A 23,950-nucleotide genomic window follows, 5' to 3' on the forward strand; every position below is an offset into this window, starting at 1 on the left:
TTAACCTCACAGCCCCATGGACAGTGTATAGCAAGCCCATCAGTCTTTTTGCAGGCTTAACTCTTCCTTGGCTTGACGACCCATTAGCCAACCATATCTCGCTCTTGTCTGCAGTCTGGCCACAGAACTGTTTTACAATAGTATCTGAGGAGGCCCTGGGGGTGGAAGGTGGAATGTGTCTCCCCTTCTGTACACACTGGGGAGAAGATTTTGTCATTTGCTATAATAAATTCTGTGCCTTCTTTCAAAAGGCTTGCAAAGTCTTTATCTTCCCGTTAGAACACAAGATTTTTAAAGGTCAATTTCTCTCTTGTCTCTTATCATGAGAAATGTGGTTTAGAGATAGTTTGAAGGGTGACCAAATTCTTTGGCTTTATGTGAACTCTCCCTTCCAGCAATAAGAGATGAGGAGGAAAAGAGAAGACAGAGACCTTTGTTCTCAGTTTTCCTGAAATTTCTCCTTCTAGGTTGCATATATCAATTATCTATTGCAACCCATGATTGTTTTTTCATGGGAACAAGAGCACCAAAAGAGATTATCATACCTTGAAGCTGCTTAAAGATCCTTTATCAGAAGAGGACTGGTTGCTTAAAATCCAGTGGAGTTTTTATCCTGGAGGCTTTTTAAAAAGCATAGGTTCCAATCTAATCCTAGCTCTCCCGCTGAGCCACTGTGTGACTTTGGGCAAATCATTTCAGTTCTCTGAGCCTTAGTTTCCCTGTATGTAAATGTGTGCCTTGCAACTTTGTTGTAAAGGCTGGAGATGATGTACGCAGAGCGTCTAGCACAGTGCCTGGCACTCAGGAATGTGCTCAAAAATGGCTGCTGTTTTCCTTTATGTACGTTTGGATTCTTTTCTAGCAAAGAGCGTGTAACAGTTTGGAATACAGACTTTAACACAGAAAATGAAAAAGATGAAAACATATTATATAGAGAAATATACCATAATCTTAAATGAAAAAATAGAATGTAAAATTTTATAGAGGACATAATTCCAATTTTTAAAAATATTTACAAATACATATTTTATAATAAATATCATGTTTCTGTGATTGCAGGTGGAGAGAAGCAGGAGAAACAACTGATATCTGTAGTTGATAAACTAAGTCTTAGAGAAGTTAAGTACATCACTCAAGGTCACACAGTGAGCAAATCAGGGAGCCAGGAGTTGAATCCAGATAATCTGGGTACAGATCTTGTACTTTTAATCATTGTGCTATGTTGCCTCTCAGGGCCTTTCAATATATAACCTGTGATCCTTATAGCAGCCCTGCAAGGTGGGCATTATTATCCTCATTTTACAGTGACTTAGCATCTTTGGGGCATGGTGTCACCATCTTTGAAATGGGCATGAATAAACATCCCTATAAGAGGATAAAATCAGAAGATGCATGTGTCTGTACCTAATAAGGGGCTTCTCAAAGCACACAGTATGAATGGGGTACACCTTCTTTGTCAAGTGGGGCACATAGAGACTTCACTTTGAGTAGGTGAGTTAGGGCCCCTCTGCTTGTCTACCTTCTGGTCCCTCTCAGGAGCCAGTGCCCAAGGTGAGAGCATCAGGAGACTGGCAGTCATCGAGTCACGTGAGGGATCTTGTTTCCATTTTTAAATCTAGCCAACAACCATACATGAAAATAAAAACAAACTAATAAAGCTGCTCCCTGGCTCAGTCATACTGTTCGGCTCCCCCAATTTTTTTTTTTTTTTTGACAGAGTCCTCCTCTGTTGCCCTGGCTGGAGCGCAGAGGCACAATCTCAGCTCACTGAAACCTCCGCCTCCCAAATTAAAGTGATTCTCGTGCCTCAGCCTCCTAGGTAGCTGGGATTACAGGTGCGCCCCACCAAGCCCAGCTAATTTTTTGCATTTTTAGTACAGATGGGGTTTCGCCATGTTGGCCAGACTGGTCTCAAACTCCTGGCCTCAAGTGATCCACCCGCCTCAGCCTCCCAAAGTGTAGCTTTTTTCTTTTTGTCTCATAGTTTAAAAACACTGCTGTAGCATTCTTTATGAAACTTGAAATTCAAGTTTAATTTAAAATATGTTGTTTTAAACCCAGCAAATTGGGAAAGAAGAGTAACCCGGAGATCTTAGATAACTTGAAGGGCTACAGGGATCTACAATGGGCCATATGTCAGAGGTCTGGACACAGTGAGAAGCTCTAATGTCGCCAAGACCTCACATACTCTGGCAGTTTCTGCGACCGGCCAGCTGTGTGACTTCTGCGAAATAATCGCTAAGCTTCCTTTTCCTTATCATGAGGGAATAGTAAGTGGATAATAAGGCCACATTCCTCACAGTGTTGCTGGATGGATGCACAATTGCTTTGCAAACTGTAAAGTGACATACAAGTTATTACGCTCTCGTAAGCCTTGTGGTACTGCTGCAGCCTATTTAAATCTGAGTAAGTACTCACACTACACTTCTAGGTGGAGGATAAATCACTAGGAGAAGGCAGAAGTGCTCTAGGTTCACAAGGCCATGTGGAATGGCTGAAGAGTCTAGTCCAGGCCATGTAATGACTTTCTCTGTGATTATGATGTGTGTGATGTCACCTCTCCTCTCTGGGCTCCAGTTGTCCTGTCTGTAAACATGCAGGAGAGGGAGTTAAAGTCAATGTTCTCTGATGTCCCTTTCAATCCTGTTACTCAACATTAAACTCTGTTAATTTCTTCTCCAAGACTTGAGTCATATCATCTAAGAACAACCACTAGTGAGACTCTAACACAATTTCCCTCCAGCCTGAATGATTTATCTTGGATTATGCTGTATACCCTGTCATGGCTGAAATAAAGGCACTTATTTAATTCTGCTTCCATTAGATTGAGTCATCTGGATGACAATTTCTTACAAATGACTGTGAGCTTCTTGAGGGAGAAAGACTGGGCCATGTTCACTGGTCTTTATGTCTCCTTGGAAAGGAGCATGGTGCCTTGTAGATAGCATGAGCCCTACAAAGGTGTGCTTGGCTGAACTGAAAGTAGCCCAATGCAAATATGGTTTACTCTTGTGCTCCTTTCTTCCTCTCTCCCTCCACTAAAACTGCCCCCGTTTGGCCAAGGCACAGAGTAATAGAGGCCAATGAGGATAACCCTTACTACCCTGGCACTTGGGGACAGTCCACTCTCTATGGTTGTTTCATCTATGCCATCCTGCAAAGCAGGGGTCCTCAGCACCTTCCCCTTGGCTCCCGCAGTGGGTGGACAGCCCACTGAACTGAGAGGGCCCTGAGGTGAGACGTTTCCTCATTTAATAGTTGAGAACCCAAGGTCAAGGACCCTCAACAATTTGGCCTTCCCAGCTGGTTCTATTTCCAACCATGATGACCCACGGGATGTCTTCCCGGCTGTTCTGAAAGTCCCATGGGACAGAAACCACATCACAGTTCCCAGTAGGGCACCCAGGCATCTGATATCAGTTGAATGAGTGGATGCTCCTTTATCCTGGCAATTGTCCCACTGCATTGCAATTACTTGCTGTTTCTCTCTCTCTCTAGATTGTGACCTTCACAAGGGTAGGGACTGTGTCTTATTTATCGCTGAAGCCCCAGTACCCTGGACAGGGCCTGATAACAATGTAGACACTTGGTTAACATTGGTTGAGTGAGTGAATAAACTACGTGCAAGCTCATTTCAGCCCATAACATGCTCCAAAAATGCAAGTGGCATATTCTCCCACAACTGGGGATTTTCTGGTTGATCTTTTCCACTTCCTACTGGCTCATCTCTCAGAACAGCTGAAGGAGGCTCTATTCCCCTGGGGTCTGCATCAGCCCCATTTCCTATGACAAGAACCTCTCTCTCCCCCCGAGCTGTGGGCTTTGGGCTATGGTATGCCTATGCCCCATGTTACCACTGGTGCATTCTAGTGCTAGGAGGGCTGGCTCTGAAGTATGGCAAACAAAGGATACACTTGAATTGCATTTCATGGGAGAGAATCAATGAGCCTTGTTCTATAACCTACGCTTGTATGTATACCGGTAGGGAGAGAGGTACGCCCTTTCCCCACATTTCCTAAAGACATGCAGTCATTTTGCTGCCCAGATGTTCAACAGCTGTTTAAAGGCTTTGGCCAAGACTTTTGACTTGTGAGAAGGGAATGGTGGCTCTTCTCTTCTTTTCTTCTATTACATGAGTGTTATTATTAGTCATTGGAATTGTGCCTACACAGGCAAACTGAAGGGGAATGCTGAGGAAATCATGCAGATAATGTAGGCTGACATCTCTTTCCTACGAAGAGCAAATATAAATACACTTTGCCTTGTCTGAAGACATGGGTGCTTAGTGCCCTTCCCTGCTTTGTCCTGGCTTGGCCCATAATGATGTCTCTGAATAGAGAGCCCTTTCCTTTCCGGGAAACCGCTACCCATCCAAGTGTCACCTTCTGATGAATGCTTTCCTACTCCCACAACAACTAATATATAACTCTACAACAGCACTTATCACAGTTTATTAGCACTTAACTTTGGGTCTTTCTCCCTCATTTGAGGTCCTGGCATATAGGGAGAGGACTTCCTTATCTCTATGCCTGGTATAGGGCCCAACTCTAAAATAAGAACTCTGGATATTTATGGAGCACAAAAATTAATGAACTCCACAAGTTTTAGATCGATTAAGGGATATTTCAATCCTCCAAGACCTCAGGAGAACATAGGCCTTCTGTTTCTGCCTAGCTACTGTGGCCAGCCCCATAAGCTCCCTGTTGACAATTGCTCCACTGGGCCCAGGCCTGGGTACATCAGGCCCAATTACCTCCTGGATTTAGGCAGCAGGTGGAAGGGCTGAAAGCCGGCTGGCTCAAAGAACAGTGCTCCGAAACAGCCCTTTCTAGGCTGCTGAAACCCACTCAAGGCAAATAAACCACAGAAATCACAACATCACACACTTGGCCTTTTAATTCTTATGGTGCTTTGGGGTTTGAGAATCCCTCTAAATAGAAAATTCCCAAAGGTTAGGATGCTGAGTTTCTGACCTATTGATTTCCTACCCTGTGCAACATATTAGAAAGTCCTTTGGTATAAATATTAGGGAGCCACATAGACTTGTTGGGACTAAGCCAATTGTTAGGCCATCACTAGGAAGAAAGGGTTAACTGTTTTGATGTTTTTTCATATCTTTATCTTTTTATTCTCCTAATAACCACCTGTGAGTGGGAGAATCAGGAAGGATTGATGTATCTTCCAAGTGGGAAAGTAGAACACATTATGGTTGTATTTACCCAAGTGAATGCAACAGAAAAATGAAGGCTAATTCTACGACTAAGATAAGGACTGAAATGGTACTCATGGGCCAGCTGCCTCATTTTATAAATAGGGAGAGTGAGGCTCAGAGCCACCAAACAGCATGTGTAAGGATGCACAGGGAGTCAAAGCCAGAACTAGAATTAGAACCCAGGTCTTCACTCTCAGCTAATGAATGTTCTAAAAGATGAGCACCTCCTTCCTTGGGCTTTGACTGTCTAGCACTTTAAAAAAACCCAAAGCAAAGGCCATTTCTATTACAAAAGGTGTCTGCTGGTGTGCAGTGAGGGTAACCTCCAGAATCAGAGGAGAAGAGACCTTGACCAAAGGTAACTCAACCTCCTTCCCTGGGAGAAGCGTCCCTCTGCAGCTTCTGTGATAAAGAATTAGATGGTCTCTTCTTATCCATCTCCAGTGAGGGGGACCCATAACTTTGCCAGACATCTCATCCTACTGTTGAATTGTTAGAAACCTCTTTCTTCCATATGCCTTCTCTTCTATAGTGGCTGCTGGATATCAATTACTTTCATTTACATTAGTTAATTTCAATTGATTCAAATGGAACACCTGTGATATGCACTCATCCCTAAGCCACATGTGCAGTTTTTTGCTTGCCCCGCAGGTCCCCCTGACTGGATGACTGGTGTGTTGGTGGCCTGTTAGCTCAGTAATATCCATTCTCCACTCTGGGCCTCCCACCCTCTGGAGCCGCCTGGAGCCCATGGGTGCCAGAGCCCTACCTCCATCATTGTCTTTGCTGTCACCGCAGGCAGTCTCCATGGAAGTGTCACAGCCAGCTCCTCTCCAGCCCAGCTGGCAGACGCAGTGCCAACCATTCAGGTCTAAGGTACATCTGCCGTTGCCATTGCACAACCCAGGGCAACCCTCTGAAAGACAAAGTACAGGGTTGAGGTCTGATCACCCAGAGTCAACTGCCATCACACACACTAACACGCTACCTGCCAACTTGCAAAATGCCTTCATATCCATCAGCACACGAATGCCCACAGCAGCCCAGGGAGGTAGGTATCATTAGGAATTGCCACTTTACAGAGAAGGCAACTGAGGCTCAGAGAGGTGAAAGGACTTGCCAGGGTCGCACAGTCAGAAGCGGCAGGGACAGGGCTGAAACCCACACCTTCTGCATCTAAAAGCCCCTCTTTCAAAAGTGACCGGGATTCTGGAGCCGGAGTCAGTGGATGTTGGCCTATCAGAATCTAACCAATGGAGCTTTTTGCCTGATCCTTGCTTCTTGTTCATTCTCATGTGTTCCTCTTATCTCTGGCGGCTGTTTAGCACAAAGGAAACATCTTTCTGTTTATTCCTTGCTTCCTTCATCACTTCTGGGTATCATTCTAAAGGGTGTTACTTTTTCCAACTCTTGTAGTAGGTCAATTTTATTGGACCCTAGGCTTTTCATTTATTTTGTCTTATTTTCTCCTAAACAACTGTCTTTGCTTTGAGGAAGAGGGCTTGGGGCTTTTTCTTAACATCTTGTCTACAGCTACACTTAGAAAAGGGCCCTGCACCCAGAGGAGCTGTGATCGCCATTGTGAAACACTAACTAGGGCTGTCTGTGAGTGCAACGCAGGTACAGCCAGGCTGCTCTGCTCTCATTACGCTCATATGCACATCTGCCTGCCTGTCTGTCATTTATTAAGCATCTTCTTTGGGCTAGCACTGGAGGTACAGAAATGAATAAGACCCGTTCTTATTCATGAGGTGCATGAAGCCTATCAAAGGAGACAAATTTATGTAGGCAAAAAATTTAACTGCTAAATGCCCTAAAGGAGACGTACAAAATATGGTGGGAACTTAACACAGGTGTGGCCATCTGAGAGGGCTGTAGATGATTTGATCAAGAAGGGTCAGGCAATATTTAGATGCTGTGTTCGTTCTGCTTGGACCATATTATAAAGTGGGGAAGTTTTTAAAAAATACTATTAAAGTAGATTTGCAGGTTTTTTGATTGCCACATCTTTAAACCTCTCCGAGTTTGTGGCTCAGAAATCTACGTTTGAGAATATGTTAAATTACGTGGTTCACTTCAGCTTCTATTGTGCCACTTGGTTTTCACTCAAGTCCTTATATTAACAATCCTGCCAACCCCCTTCTCCAAGGGGCTATCAAAAACCACCTGTCACTGGCAAGAGTTCCATCTCCTCTCTGCTGCTGCTCAGTCTTGGGAGAGGTATGGATGTGAAAGCACTGTGTCAGCTATAAAGCTTCATTTGTTTTATTATTATGAGCAGCAAAGTGCTCTAAATATGGCCACAAACTGGATCTTCTGCCATGAATTAATGGGAAATTGACTCATTATTCTTAAATGGGACAACAAATGTGAAAGTGGCTGTCCAGTACAAGACCTGGGCCAAGATAGCCACTCACTAAATGGCTGATCAATCAGAATCTAAAACTTGAGTGTTCCCAGGACTTTTGATAGTTGACTGTTATTCCAAAGTAAAAGAAAATAACATGTTTATTTCCACTTGAGATGTTCCACACAACAACCAAGCAATTTGGCCACTGTGTTTTCCATTCAAAGGAAGAAACATGTAACAATTGTGTACTCCAGCCTCGGAGGGATTCCTCCAGAAGTTAGAAGTGTATGTAGACTATGGGTTTCTGTATAGCAGAAGCCTGCTGGGAAAGATGAGAGGCTACCAGCATGGCCACCCCAAAAAGTGATTGAGAAAGAAGTTTTAAAAGCGAGCCCCAGGAGCAGAGCTGTGACACACAGGCGGCTATCCAGGCAATCTGACTTGGTTGCCAACATCAGCCACCATTAGTGATCTAAGCAATCACAGCTTTCTTTTTTCCTCAATTAGTCTCATGTCAATTTTTGTCCGTCCAGCCGGGACTTGTTTTCAATTAAGCCTGGTTTGTATTTGGAATTAGTCCTGGAGGAAGTAGGGTCTGATCTTTAACAACGGTAGCTGACTGCTTTCTTTTGCTGTAAGATAAAGCCTCTTGTAAGATGCAAACAGTATCTCTTACGTAAGAGCACAAGCTTGAGAGGCATATCAAAGTTTGCCTGTACCACTCAGTGGCTGTATGACTCAGGCATGTTATTGAATTTCTTTGAGCCTCAGTCTTTTTACTTATAAAATGGGGTTTTGGGGGCGGTTAAGTAAGGTATGCATGATGCACAAAGCCTGGCATACAGCTCAAAGACAATATCTGAATCTTCTACTCACCTTTACCTTCTCTCTATTTTGGGCAGAGGGCATATAATATCATATGTTGTACCCACAACCTCAGGTGGGGCTCACAGAAAGGCAAAATAGGAAACTGAGGCAGTTATCTAGATCAGAGTCAGCAAACTTGTTCTGTAAAGACCCAGAGAATAAATAGTTTAGGCCTGTGAGCCATATGGTCTCTTGCAATTACTCAACTCTGCCGTTATAGCTTGAAAGCAGCCATACACACTTTTAAATGAATAAGCATGGCTGTGCTCCAACTAACTTGATTTACAAAAATAGGTGATGGGCCCGATTTGGTCTGTGGGCTGTAATTTGCCAACCTCTGGTTTAGATGCTTCAGGACAGTGAGACAATGACAGCTGCCACATACTGAGGGTCTACTAGGACTGGCCACTGTGCTAGGCACTTTATATAGATTTCTAAAATAAGTAACTTTTTGTTAAAAATGTTCAGATCTTGATTTTCTAGGGCAGATCCAATTTTACACCATTTAATCCTAAATTTTTAGTAAAAGCCATGTGTTGTAATAGAGCGAGGACTTTGGAGGTGGACAAACCTCAGTTCAAATCCTAGCACCATCATTTTACTTACTACCTGTGTTACAACTGGCAAATTACTTCACTCTAAGCTTCAGTTTTCTCATCTGTAAAATGGAGATAATACCTGATTCAAAGAGTATGTGAGAGTATTAAATGAGATAATATATATCAATTATTTATCACAGTGGGTAACATACATAGGGATTCAATAAATGAGAGCTGTTATTATTATTATTGGATTTACTTGTTTTAAGTTTGTATAACTTCACTAAGAAATTCATAAACAAGAAAATAAACCTTTGCCAGCCCAACTTGTGTAACGTTTAGGTCAAAAGCTATGGTCCTTATAAATAAATCCTTGCCAAAAACGGTCAAGACAAACACTGGGCTTGCCTCATGGCTCCGTGAACATGCAGTGCAGTGGGAGGCGGCATGATGGGTTCAGGGCTGCGAGTCCCAGTGCAGGCCACCATTCATGCTTTCCTAGCATATTGTACTTCTCTCAATAGCAACTGTCCCAAGGATACTGAAATGATCAATTCTGCAATTAGTTTCATTGTCTTACTTCTTCCGTTAGAATGTACCAGTGCCTGCATGTAGCAGACACTCAATATATATTTGTTAAAATAAATCAATGAGAGGGACAAGAGGCCTGCGTTCTGGCCTAATATGGGGGGAGTTGGGAAAGTTACTTTCTCTCTTTGGGCCTCAGTTTCCCCATTTATAAAATAAGGATTTGGATGAGATGATCCATTAGGTCCTTCCAGCATAACTGACCCAATAGAGAAGGTCAAAACAACGTCAAGTTAGTTGATTCTGTTCTTAAATTCAATAAACTTTACTCAGTACCTGGTGGATGCTGGACTTTGTGTTAATTCACAGAGATGAGATATATCATCTGCCCTAAAAAATTTTACATTCTCTTTATTTATACCATACTTTGTTCCAGGAAGGGTTTAAAATAGGTCTTATAATCACAAACCATACTTCTGAAAGTGAACCTTGTGAAATAGTAGTTCTATGAGGTCCTCAAGAAGAAGCTCCTGCAGTCAAATAAGTTTGGAAAACGTTGCATCCTATATTCTTATTGTAGAAAGTCACACTGAATATCAATATATTAAAGGCTCCAAGAAGTCTTAGAATAAAGAAAGCTGCTTATTCGATTACTAGAGCATTATCCAATTTGACCTCAGAACTCTTTACCCCACCCAGTAACCTGTGTAATATTCCATTCCATGGAACCCCCTCTGGGAAGCCCTGCTCTAGTGAACTCCTGTAGGCACATGGCATCTTGGGCACATAGTCCATGCTGCTCTGAGGCTGCCTGAAAATATCATCACCAGACCTTTAGTGGGATTGGGTCAATGAATCATTGAGGTGCCAGTTTGGAAGATGTGAAGCAGGTGTTCTCAGGGAGGGTTAGCTCTAGATGTGGAATCACAGAGAATCACAAATGTGGAAATCCACAGTCAATTTCTTCAAATGGACCAAGTGATACCCTGAAGATCTGCAGTATCCTATAAGTTTCAGAGGGACTTTGAGTACCTGTGGGTGGAACAAGGTTTGCTTTCATCCAGCCATTTGCTTCCAGGATAATCACACCCCCATTAGCCAGCATGAGGAAGGCTCTTCCAGGATGACTTGCTGACTTTCTTAAAGCAATATGCCCGTCCTTACCCACTGAGGCTAGTTCCGCAAACCCTGAAACTCATCAATAATTCAGACAGCCCACGTGACATTAATAATCCCTTCGGAAAGACTCACACCAGGCATTTGCTAGAGTCAAAGTAATGTAATTTTAAAGTTTAGAGAAGGGCTAACAAAGCTTTTCAAAAGAAATGATGCCCTTTAAATGACAAGGGACCACTTTATCTTCAATCTCCTGCTTAGGCCTATGAAGAAGTCCCCCTTGCAGCTAGCACCAGGTATGATTAGAAGACTTTCAGAATCCTTGAAGGTATTTATTTTTTAGTTAAGTGGCATGGATTCTATGCAATACACTTATCATATATCAAATGGCCCATTTCTTTATGTTTCTCTTACTGGTCCTCTTGTACTTTTTTTCTCTCTCCATATTCACTTCCCTAGACAAAGCCATCATCATCTCTTACCTAGATGACAGCAATAGTCTGCTAATCGGTCTTCTTGTTCTCAATGGTCCCCCCTCAATTCTCCTTTCACAATAGGGCCAGACTGAACTTCCAAATCACAAATGTGACCTAGTTATCATCTTGCTTTTAAAAACCTTCAGACGCTTTCTTATACCCTCATGTTAAATTCCGCAATCTATAAGGCCCCAACAATCCAAGTTAGTGGGGTGGTTACTTGCTAAGTGGTAGCCTCTGGACTCCCCTGTCATAACCCTCATCACACTTTGTTGGAATTATTGGTTTTAGTGTCTTCTCTGCTAGACTGCAGGCACCTTGAGAGCAGGGACCATATCTGTTATGTGGTATTCATATTTCCTACCACTTAGGAGTTCAGCATATTTGTTGAGTAAACATTGTTTCTTTAGTCTCTACCAAAGCAACTGGGAAGCAATGAACAAAATCCGGCCCATCTTTGAACAGTAAAGTACTCTACTCTGACAAGACCTGAGCTTCCATGACACAGATCTCTGAATTATTTTTTTAGAATTAGTATCCATTATACCAAAATATCAGCCAGATGAGGGCTTGGGTCAGACCTTGATTTTGCCAAGAAACATTTGCCTTTTAAAACAAGTTATGATTCATTGACCTAATCCAACTAAAGTTCTGGTGATGATATTTTCTGAACTGAAGAGCAGAGCAGGTGATTTGAGAAAGAATATAGGCCACTTCCCAGTAAGGGTGCCAGTTTGGAAGATGTGGTGTGGAGGAAAATATACTGGAAATTATGGACATTCTCGGTGACTTATGGTGACAGAAGATAGAATGCTGAAACATGGATAAAGTCAGGAAATGCAGAGTCCTGGTTCTGCTACTTATTAGAAGTGTGAGCCAGGATGACCCATTCAACTCCCTCAACTTCAGTTTCCTTTTTCAATTGAATGGGTATCATTATATCTATTCCCTCAAAAAAAAATCACATGACTCACCTAAGACTCATGGATGTGAAAAAACTTCACATAGTAGGAAAATTTTCCATCAAATAGATGGTAACATGATAAAATTTAGCCCACCCTGAAGAGTCCTCTGCTAATGATAATGTGTGAAATGCCTGTTTTTAAAGAGGCTAGGAAGTACTACTCTTTCTTGCTGGAATGATTTTATTGTCAGTTGAGGACCAGCACATGAAATATGAAGACCCTTGCTCTTCCTCCATCTGTTGGATCCTATGCGACACCTTTGCTGTATTTGGCAAAGCTGTCCTAGCTGAAAAGCATTTAGTCAGTTATGTTTCCCCAAAACCCTTTCCATAAGTTTTAAAACAGCTGTTGCTATCTCTTATTAAAAGCCAATTTAGCCTTTTCCTTTACAGTTTCAAAAATTAATTTAGCTAATGAAGTCCTTCTTCAAATTAAGGGTGAGAATAAGAATAAGAATATGATGATAAAGCAGTATAATTCATACTTATTGAGCATAATTCCTGCCTATATACTAAGCACTTTGTATTTGTTACTTCACTTAATCCTCATACTAGCCTTATGAGGTGGGTCCTGTTAGCAAGAGAAGAGAAGTTAAATCACTTGCCCAAGGTCACTTAGTTCCCTGAGTGTTGAAGCTGGGATTCAAACCCAAGCAGTCTGACTCTAGAATATGTGTCCCTATCTGCAGAGCACACATTTTGTACCAGGTGCTGTGTTAGGGCCTGAGAACAAAAAGATGAATATGACATGGTATTTCTCCTCAAGGAGCTTAGAGTCTTTTCAGAGCACACATATCTGATTATTCTGAGACTTGTTCTTAGAGCTATGTGGCCTATTTGGAAAATCAGGTACCACCCAACTAATGTAAATGTTTAAAATGGAAGGAATTACTTTGCCTCTAGGGAACACTCTTCAAAGACAAAACTTACCAAAGTCAGGCCTTCTCTGAAAAGGAAAACAAACAAATAAACAAACAGACCATCTGCTCCCTGAGGTCAGGGATCTGTTTGTCCCCTTGTCTCCAGACCCTGGCGCAGGTGCCTAGTACACAGTGGGTGCTCCATAGATGCTCGTTGGACGAATGAACACAGTAGTACTAGAAAGTAGTCCTTAAAATTTCTTAACTTGCTCTTGGGTCTCTTCCTTTCTCAGGCCACCCACCCTGGTTGCCAGCATCTTAATTCTGGTGGACCAGGGGCCATAACAGATGGGCAGGGTGACATGAGATGGGGTGGAAAGAGTGAAAGGTGTATGTATGTGGGGCGGGGGGAGGGAAAAACAAAAGTACAATGGTATTGTCACAAACAGATCTGAGCATCTTGTGGGGAGAATGACACTCCAGGTATATCAACCACCTTGTGACCGAAAACCCATCCCCTTTGGGCAATGGATGCTGCGACAAAACTGGGGATGCATTAGCTTCCAGACATCATGCTTATGTGGTGTATATACATTTTTATATACACATTTCTTCTTTTATACTCATACACAAACACACACACAAAGACAACAGGAAAATAGAGGAAGGAAGACCATACCTTTAACTACCCTATCCAGATAGTGAGCTAGGGAGATAAAAGACAGGACATTTAAGGTAGGATCCAGTAAGTGCAATATCGCCTGCCACATAACCATGCCAGATGCTACACAGACAAAGGGATTGTGCCCCACGTTTGGGACAGGCCTATGCCATGGTGGGGAAAATAAAACCAAAGACAGGATGACATGAGAGAGGAGAAGGGAGAGCAAGCATTCTCCAGGGATGGCCAAAAGGAACTTCAACTCATTCTGTGATCCAGGCATTTGGAAATGTGATCACAGAAACAAGAAGACATATGAATAAGGAAAACAGACAAAGAAGGATGGGAAACTGCAAAAGTGGCCACACTCCTGCTCTGCCAGCTTCGTCTGGCTTTACGGAAAACTAGAGCCCGTCCCTTTGACTACTCAGAGCAGCATCCAACCTCCCTACAGGTGAAGCAGCCATAACAAGAACAAGTGGTACCCCATCTCGGCAGAGGCCTTTCCAAGAAGTTGGAATTTAGAAATACGCAAAATTTGAATCATCTCTGATATGCACTAGTGAAGGGGGTTGAGTCTTTGGTCAAATATACTGCTGGATTATCTGTTTGCCATTCTTGAATTTTCCATGTACACATGTGCCCACATATGCTTGAATGCAAAATGCTTAGCGTTCTAAGTAAGATGCATTCCTCCTTTGTGCATCGTACACAGACTATGAGGTGCAGGTCAATGGATGTCACTGTGAAAAACAAGACAAAGCAAAGAAAATCTGACCACTTCTCAATGCTTATTAACCCTAAAGAAAGATGTGTGCTTTGTTTTCCAATGGAGGGGTTGTATCCAAGCCTTGAGTTATTTGGCCTTCTAAAGTTTTGCTTATTTGAGGATGAGCATCAAAGGTTGCTCTGAAATAAACCCCACTGTGTCTATATATGGGTGTCTGGCTGTGTGTTTAGAGCAGGGCAGGCCTCTTAATTCCCAGCATGAATCACTAATACCATTTCACCTGCCCTCCCTAGGCTGTAGTTATAGCTCTTTGAGGAGCTTCTCTTTCTCTGTCTCTCCACACCTCCTACTAGTGTGTTCTGCAAAGGCCGGGTAGCTGGGCAGTCTCCTGAAGGATCTGATGCCTTCAGCCAGGCTGCACTCCAGCCCCAGCTGAATTTCACACATGAATCAAAAGTCCATCAGACAGGACCGGACTGCAACGGTGTGGCCTTATCAGGAATCCCTAGGGTTCTTTAAATATTCTTACTCTCTTCATAAAAAACCATAAATTATATTTTTTCAATTCTCTGGATAGAACAGATATTGTTGTTCATCACTATATATTAGCCTCAAAGACTAGTGGATGAGAGGCTGTGTTCTTAGTTCAGGTATCCGTGTGGTCTCTGGTTCAAGATGAAATATGCTTCTGGAGCCTGCACAGCCAAGTGGAAAATTGGGAAGAGGAAATTTTAACTGAGGCTACATGCTTTTCTTCATTCTTACAGATGTCGTGGAGTCCATGAGATGCAGGATACAAGATAGGAACATGAAAGAGAGTACTTATTAAGTAGGGGTGAGTAAACAAAGCTATGGAATGCCAAACAATGAAAAATGGGGACAGCCCACACGAAAAATGGCCTAGGAAATACCTCTGGCTAAAGGGAAATCTTTCTTGATTCTTGGCTTATCTGTCACTTTAGTCTTAGTCAAGCTAATTTATCTAATTTTGCAAAGTGGTCTAAAATTTCTTATATCTCATCTCCCAGGATATGCTATCAAAGGGCATGAATACATAGAATCACCTGGCTCTTGTGGTTTTGTTAGCTTTCTTATCTGCAGAATTTTTTGGAGGGTCCCAATTATAAGTTCTTATAATAACTCTGAATCCAGTTATAGAAGAGGTGTAGTGAGCCTAGATTTTTTTTTCCCAGGGATGGCTAGGCTGGATGAGATGCCATCACTGGGATCCAAGTGGTCATAGCTTCCACCGTGAGGGAGTTCTCTGATGAAAAAAACTTTCCTGATTGTCTCCAAACTTAATGGTAGTATAGTGGTTCTGGTGGTGAGTGAAGCTTATATCCATTCTACAGGATAATCTCCCCAGGGCCAGGGGCTGACTTAAGAGAGCTCTCTCTCTTCTAATGCCATTTCATTTTCAAGAACCACATAACCATGAAGAGCACTATTAAGTGAAAATATGTTTTTGATACCTTTAAAAATTCTTACTAATTTCTCCAGACCACAGGTAGGAAAGAAAATCAGTGGAAATGATGGAGGCAGGCTCAGGTTACCATCAGCACTGTGAGTTTTCAGGAGACAAAAGTAGACATTCAAAACTTCAAATCCTGACTCCACAAATCAAAAGGGATTCCTTTGCTACAAAGAGCCCCCGAGCCACACTGTGAATCCAAAAGCTGGTAACAGCCAGTTAATACCAAGTCCATGAGTTTTCCGGGAATGGAATGGAGCTTCCTTGTCTCTGGCTATTGAAAATGGGAGTGACAAATGGGTCTTTGAACTTTACTGCCATTTATTTATAAAAGGCATATGCGGAAGTCCATACTGTGGTTGCTTTTATTGTTTGAAAACCTTGGCACATATGCTGTTGAGTACAGTTGTTTAAAAATTCATGATTTTAAAGTACCAACTTTTAGAAAAGATGATGCAAGCTTTGCATTATGAAAGGTGGATTCAGGACTTCATCAATTCCTGCATCTTTCTCTTCAGAACTTCAGGATGAAGATGATGGCAGTAGGCATCTTTTCTCTTGGGCAACGCTTGTTTCTTTGGCATTGTACAAATGTTTCTCATACTCCTACTATGTTCCTATCTCTGTGTGAAAAGCCGGAGATAATAAAGGTACTATAGCTATTTATGCTACAGACTGAGCTTTTGGCATGAGGTTGGTCTGCACGGTCTTAGCTCTCTTTGGCCTTTCTCTGATCACCAACATAAAACTTCTTTCCTTGACTTGCCTCTACCAACAGAGGTTTCCAAAAGTTTCTCTTGGGATAATCTTAAGAATCTTCAGGGGCCCCCTATCCAAAGTTATGGAGAACATGGCAAGAGGCTTTCCATTCTTACTCTCCAGGAGCCTCAGGGCAACTCGAACGGCTGCATCATTGGTACATGTTAGGCCACAAGAAACAAGGATCACTACAGCAGGTGATGGGTTGGCGGTTCTAGTCATCTGAACTTCTTTCGGATGGGTGACAAACCACCAAAGAGATGTTCTTGCTAAGCTCTTGGATACATCAGTGCTCTTCTCTCTTTGGATAAGTGGTCAGTGACACCCACACTGAGAGAAATTCAAAGCCAGATTCCCACCCCACCACGTGTGGGCTGAAGTCTCCCAGGATCATCAGCAAATTAAACTTGTGCTCTGATAACTTGAGGTAGATCCCTGTACATTTTCTCTTTCTCCTTGTCAGCATCTGTCTTGTCAAACCACAGGTCCTGTTGTGAGTGAATGCTTTCAGGAGGGATAACCATAGCGTTATCACAGGGTCCTATACCTCATGAGTGATTTGTGGGCTCTTGGTTAAGGATTTTCTGATTATGAAAAAGAAATCTGATAGCTATCATTCAAAAGCAAACAAAGGGCCAGGTGTGGTGGCTCGTGCCTGTAGTCCCAGCACTTTGGGAGGCTGAAGCCGGTGGATCACTTGAGGTCAGGAGTTGTTAGAGACCAGCCTGGTCAACATGGTGAAACCCCGTCACTACTAAAAATACAAAAATTAGGCCAGGCGTGGTGGCTTATGCCTGTAATCCCAGTACTTTGGGAGGCCGAGGCAGGTGGATCACCTGAGGTCAGGAGTTTGAGATCAGCGTGACCAACATGGAGAAACTCTGTCTCTACTAAAACTACAAAATTAGCCAGGTGTGGTGGCGGGCGTCTGTGATCCCGGCTACTTGGGAGGCTGAGGCAGGAGAATCACTTGAACCCGGGAGGCAGAGGTTGCGGTCAGCCGAGGTCGTGCCACTGCACTCCAGGATGGGCAACAAGAGTGAAACTCCATCTCAAAAAAACAAAAAACAAAAATTAGCTGGTGTGGTGGTGCACACCTATAGTCCCACCTACTCGGGAGGCTGAGGCAGAAGAATTGCTTGAACCTGGGAGGCGGAAGTTTCAGTGATCCGAGGTGGTGCCACTGTACTCCAGCATGCGCAACAGAGTGAGACTCTGTCTTTTTTTTTAAAAAAAAAAAAACTGGACAAAGCACGGAAGATTTTGTGGCTTTTCTTTATAATTTCTCTTCATTGGGAAGTCTGGTTTTACTCACACAAGTAATTGCATCTTCAGGGTATCATTTTGATCTTTACCCCCAGAGGAAGCTTTTGTTTAAAAATCAGGACTTCTAGGATTGGACAGCTCTCCTGAAGTCTGGTAAATAATTCTGTATATGTGGTATCTTGAACAATCACAGCTTTAGAGTCAAGCTGGAATTTTATTAATGTAATCAGAAGCTGGCATTTTCTACAGGTGTTTTCTTTACTTTAGAGACAAGGGGCACTGAGGTAAATAGAAAAACCATGATAGAATTGATCCAAAATGTTAGTAGTGTTTTCAAAGAAATAGGAAAAAAATTAAACGCCTTGTTAAATTTAACTACGATTTTCAGCTTTCTCAAAGGAAATCAGAGGTCAAGCACCAGACTTCATGGATCCATAAAACTCCTTGAAAAGATCCAAAAATATGCACTTGGTGACTCTCTGTCAATCATATACTTGAGAAACAGATCCAAATCAATCCATCTTAGCCTGACTTCTGGACTAGGAAAACTGGGTTTCATATATGCAAGTGGGAGTATTAGTGCCATGTAAGTAACAGTAAAAATGAAGAATCCCTTTTTCTTCATGAGATATTTTTAGGAGCAGGTGACTCACTTTTGGGCTGATGGGTGTGCAGTTCTGTGGGCAGTGGAGGAGGGGGATGAACTTCTGTCACCCTTGGGGACCTACTCCAGCCACTCCATTCTGTGATTCATGGATAGAGAAACTAAAGCCTCAGGCAACTGCGTGGTCTGGCCCTGGTGCTTTTACCAAAGACCCTTCTTCAAGATGCAAAGAGACAGGTGATTCCTAACATAAGGAATTAGGATTGAATGTGAAATATTTTTGCTGTTTGACAAAAATACTGTCATTGAAGAGGATGCCACTGTCAAATTCCCTTTCATTCTGAAAACCAACCTCTCTTGAGAAGAATCATGTAGCTTCCATGAAAGATAAGGTGAGCCAAAGGCTCCAAAAGAAGATATTTAATTCCTACTATAATAATCTGCTCTGGGAAATGTCACTGGGGTAAAAAGGCTCTTAACGCTGGGGACTTGGCCATAAGGGGCCCAGATTTGTCTTGTTCTTTAAATTCTGTATTCCTGCTGTAAGGTCATCAAGCCATTCCTTCCTGTTTACGCAGGTCGGCAGTATGTAAATAAACAGGCCCTCTTTTTTTGCTTCCACTGCCTAGAGGTCTCGAAATCAGTGTCATGGATACCAGCTCTTTCTCTGGTATGGGAAATAACTATTGCAGCTAGGAGCTAGCTACACGATAATGACCTATTGTATGATAATGAAATCTGATAACAAGAGAAAATTTAACACTTTGAATTTCTAACTTTTCACATCAGCAGTTTTTTTCTTTTCCTAAATGACTCTCACAGGGAGTAAAGTTCTCTGGAAACAAGGAAATGCTTCTTGTTACCATCAAAGACTAAAAATGGATTTCCCCTTCTCATTTCTATTTCAACAAGAAAAGGATGGGACCATTGTTTCTCTACTTTGCCTCCCCTCCCCCTTCCCTTATATCCTACAGGGTTATTGAAGTGTTCCTTCAGCACGAGGGTGGTGAGTTTCTCATGGGGACGCAGCTGGCCACGGGCAGAGACCCACAGAGAGAAGGTTACCATGCAGGAAAATTAGACAAGGACGAAGAAAATGCTCACCACACAATGAGAGGTATTAATAGAATTCCCAGCCAAAGTCCTTTCAGCTGAGCCACTATGACTAGTCTATTGCTTCTTCAATGTCCTATGACATTTCTTTGGTATTTAGGACCGTCAACCTTATTCTTATATTGTGCACATTTACTTTGATGTATTTCTTATCTGGAGGGGAAAAGGTATCTGCATCCCCAAGGTGGAATCTGTTCTAGAAGAGCGACAACAGAGCATACAGGGGAGGTAGAAGTGGATGGTTTGACTTCTTGGCATCAAAATAAAAGGGACATTCTTAAGGCCAGGCTGATGAATATCCAGAAAACACTGCCTGTAAAACAGCCTGCCCACAAGCCCCAACATGAGTCATGTGTGACTAGACGAAGGGAGAGGTTCCCTAAGATGAGATGCGTTTATCTTATAACATTTTTGTCCAACATTTGCAAACGTTTTGGAGTTTGGTAAGATGAGCTGAGGACTCTGTAAGCAAGAGACAGCAAACAGAATGGGCCCTCTCTGGGCTCTGGTTTTTTTGTTTCTGTTTTTGTTTTTTTTTTTTGTTTTTGTTTTTTAGATAGGTGTGGGCTTTCTTCTGGGCTGGGAGGTTGAAAGGTTGGTTCATCCTCAGTCATGCAGAAAAGGGAAGGTGAGGGGAAAGCAGAGTTTAAAGAAGAGGCCCCCTCAGATGACCAGGGCCACTTCTCACTAAGGGGTTTCCAGGACAAGTGTAAGGGAGGATGACACCGATATAAAGAAGCCATCAAGGTGCACACAGTAACATGACGCAGCACAACCTGCAGTGGCTGCCATTGTGATGGAGTGGCTCTGTTGAGGGTGGAGGCTGGGCAGATTAGGTGAGGGACTCTGAGTGCAGCTGCCACGACAGGGCACAGTCTCCAGGAGGGACAGGAGCAGATGCCTCAGTGGAAAACCAGGACTTTATCGTGCAAGGGCTGCAGAGTAAGCAGCTGGTAAGGAAAAATCGAGTGTCAAATTCCTGCTCTACCTCTTTGAAGTTCCGTGACCTTAAGCCTCAGGTCCTTGAAAATGAGGAAATAATACATACTGCTTCACAGGGTGATTGTAAGGAGGATAAAATAATGCAGCTAAAGTTCTTAGTGCAGCTCTCGGCACGTTGTGAATACTTAAAAATCAGAAGCCATTATTATTATTAATATTAATAAATGTAAGGTATTCCATGGCCAAAACCCAGGGATGTTGCAGGGGCAGGGACCAAGGATACAAACTAATGTTAGGCTTCAAAACAAAAACAATGAAGACTGAAAAAACCCTCAAGGGGTAAGAGGTAGCTCTGTTTGCTCAAAATTCCTTTGTCTCTCCAAAGCTGTGGGGCTTGTCTTCCAGTTTCTCTAAGACCCAAGAGGTCACTTTCTAAGCCAGAAAGGTACCTGGAATCCTGCCTTCTAAAGCCATGTGCTCACCATCTGATCACAGACCCTTCATTTAAAAAAAAAACCAAAAAACAAAAAACAAAAACGGAAGGGGAAGAAGCTAAAACACACATATATACACAAACCGGTTGATTCAATAAAGAGCTTTTGGTGAGTGCTCATTCCAGGATAATAAACCAAGCAAAACGTCTGGCTGAGTTTAAAATCAACAAAACCGGCAGGAAAGGCAGAAGGAAGGGAACGAAGTGATCAGCTTGTTTTCAGAGCTGCTTCAGCAGGAGCTGGTGCCGAGGAGACCCCAAGGGAGGGGAAAGGAGACAAATGCAGACAGGATGGAAGCTGAGGACGGGGGAAGATCCCAGGCCTAATGGACTCCAGATGTGGCCTTAGGGCCTGTGGGGAGCTCTCCCCAGGATTCCAGACCTCTTGGGGAATTCTGACCTAGGAGCCCAGTGGGCATGGAGGGCTCAGAGCTAAGCCCCAGCCATCCCAGCAAGATAATGCATTGGATAATAATGGCTGCATGTACTGGGCACTCCACTGTATGCCAGCCTTTGCTAAGGTCTTCACATGTATTATTATCCCCATCTTACGAGTGAGGAAACTGAGGCTCAGAAAGTTGACGGGGCTTGCCCATAGCTGCTAAGAAGTGCTCATCTGCCTCATTCCTCAACACAGAGCTCCCTGACACAGATCCATACCGCATGTAGCCTTGGAGGAGCTAAAGAGCAAGGTGTGCTAACCAGCTAACCAGGACATGGGAAATGGAAATTGGGAGTAATAAGGTTGAAAATACCAAATCGTGAGTTTAAATCCAACCGATGGCTAGGAAATGCCAGTCATAATACCTCCAGATGAAAGGACTTTCTTCCCCATCCCCACATGCGATGAGGGCCCAGGCTGGCCCTGAAATGCCCCAACAGACAAAGATGTCCTGCAGACCAGAGAAGGTACCCGGGGACCTCGGCCCGCCATACCGATGGTGCAGTGTTCGCCATTCCAGCCAGGGCTGCACTCGCACTTGCCGTCGCGGCAGGTCCCATGCTCGGCACAGCGCGGGTGGCAGGCCCGCTGGTCGCAGGCTGCCCCCATCCAGCCATCCTCGCAGCGGCAGGTGCCCCCTACGCACACGCCATGGCCACCACAGTCGGCAGCACAGATCTCTGTGGGGAGGAGCAGAAGAAGGGAGGACACCAGGGCCAGGATGGGAGGCAGTGGCCAGAGGGGCAGGGGAGAGAGGAGAGAGAAAAACAACAAGTATTGAGCAAGTTATTGTTGGAAACCAAAGTCACACTTGGCTACATACCTGGGCTTCTGTGACAGATCAGGATTCCAGAGGCTCGCGAGACTAATCTCCGTGGACAATGACCCTCAGATGAGAACAATTCTCTGGGCAGAAGCCTGCCCTGTGCCTGTTTCCCCACCAAAAGAGGAAGGATTGTAGGGCTCTGCTCAATTTGCTTCTCCTTCTTGCCAACCTGTCCCTGCCTTTGTGCTTGCCCCTTCCAAAGGGGACCGGCATTCTGAACAGACATCAGGAAAAGTCAAATGTAATTAAAAACCAGTTATGTGTGAAAACAAAGTAAGGATGAGTCCCCTTCGCCCAATGAAGTGCTTGTGGTCTGGCTGGGCACGTGATGAGTTCTGGGGCCTGCATTTCATGACGGCCTGGACTCTGATTGAGGTTGGGGTGCGGGAGGGAGGCTGAACCCCAACCCCATGAGTATACTCTAGGTTGTTGTCCAAAACCTGCAGTTTGTTCTGAGCTTTTGCTGGGTTTATTCTCTTTCAGCTTCCTGCTTCCTCACCCCAACTCCAAGAACCATCTAAATGGGGTTTCAGATCCAAAGCAAATGGTTTGGAGGGGGGCCCTTCATAGCCAGAGTGGAGCTGCCCACCCTTCACAAAGGCACATCTGTGAGATGGTGCAAAACACACAGGGCCCGATTCACAAGCCCCTCAGGCTCCAGGCCAGCAACAGCTTCATGCTTACTGCAGGGAGCGGTGGTAAAGTCTTCCAAAATACAACTGCTCTTTAGGAAACAGGTTGAGCAACCATGTCCACTGAAGCTCTCTGCCAGGGCTCTGAGGGAGAGAGACTGACTTGATTCTCATGCCTCGTGGCCCCACATGCTTCAAATTCACATGAAAATCTCAATCCTTTTCATTTCTTTCAAACTAAATTAGCTGGCACCTCTGTCAAGGTGCATTTGCTCATCTCCCTTCCAAACTGCATGCTTAGTTTAGAAGCTGCTAATAATCTTAGCTACTTTGAAAAAGAAAAGAAAACAAAATTAGGTCTCAGAGGCTCAGACCTTCCTACCAATCTACAAGACAATGAATAAAATGTTTGAGAATTTAACAAATAGTACGAGTCCCCATGTATGTTGTGTTCCTGTGCCAGACATCCTGCCAAGCACATTACCTCAAAAGGGAGGTACTTATTACGTGCAGTAACACATCAGATTCTTCAGCTGTAAAGTGGGAAGGGACATCTCTGACCTGGAGCCAGGGACCTGGATCCTATGCCAGGCTCAGGAGCTTCTGAGCTGTGTGACCTGGGGCAGGTCCCTTGACTTCACTGAGCTACGGTTCCTGTCTGGAGAGTTCCTGGTCCTGTCAGACAGTTCCTTGTCTGGAGAGTGTGAGCTGCATGATGCTGCCTTGCAGCAGCCCTTTGCTGACCTAACTGGGCTCTGGCGAGCACCCAGTGAAGTGGATGACAAAAAGGCATGACAAAGATCAAGCAACTCAAGAAAGGTTTCCTGAATTGAGGTCAGCACAGTGAACTTCAGACAGGGAGTCTAGGAGGTTTGTGAGATCTATACCTGCTCAGCCACTAATCTACTGTGTGGCTTTGGGGAGGTCACTTCCTCTCTTCTGGGTGTCAGTTTCCTCATCTGTTGCAGGTGGAACCTAATGGTATTTAAGATCCCTTCAGGCTGTAAGAATGTGGGATTCTATGACAGAGCACCCTCCCTGTTAGACAGTGTAATCTACCCCCAAGACCTGGCTGAAAAGCACCCCCTCCTCTGAGAAA

The 23,950-nt window shown here is 43.7% G+C and overlaps 1 protein-coding gene across 10 annotated transcripts in view; it reads right to left on the reverse strand.

Moving 5' to 3' along the window:
- The window catches only part of TENM4 (teneurin transmembrane protein 4), a 788,202-nt gene that overhangs the window by 112,182 nt on the left and 652,070 nt on the right, over nt 1–23,950 (reverse strand). For 6 of the 10 annotated variants that reach the window (XM_047426739.1, XM_047426737.1, XM_047426736.1 and 3 more), the window contains 2 exons: nt 21,888–22,073; nt 5,982–6,128 (listed from right to left, as the gene is read on the reverse strand). In XM_047426739.1, the coding sequence (XP_047282695.1) occupies nt 5,982–6,128; nt 21,888–22,073 (333 nt within the window). Of the gene's footprint in view, nt 1–2,418; nt 2,522–5,981; nt 6,129–13,591; nt 13,619–21,887; nt 22,074–23,950 lie in introns of those variants that run through there. The other 4 variants (XM_017017525.2, NM_001098816.3, XM_047426738.1 and 1 more) reach the window with 2 other exon arrangements.

The sequence above is a fragment of the Homo sapiens genome, chromosome 11 (genome assembly GCF_000001405.40).
Source record: "Homo sapiens chromosome 11, GRCh38.p14 Primary Assembly".
In the NCBI taxonomy this organism is placed as follows: domain Eukaryota; kingdom Metazoa; phylum Chordata; class Mammalia; order Primates; family Hominidae; genus Homo; species Homo sapiens.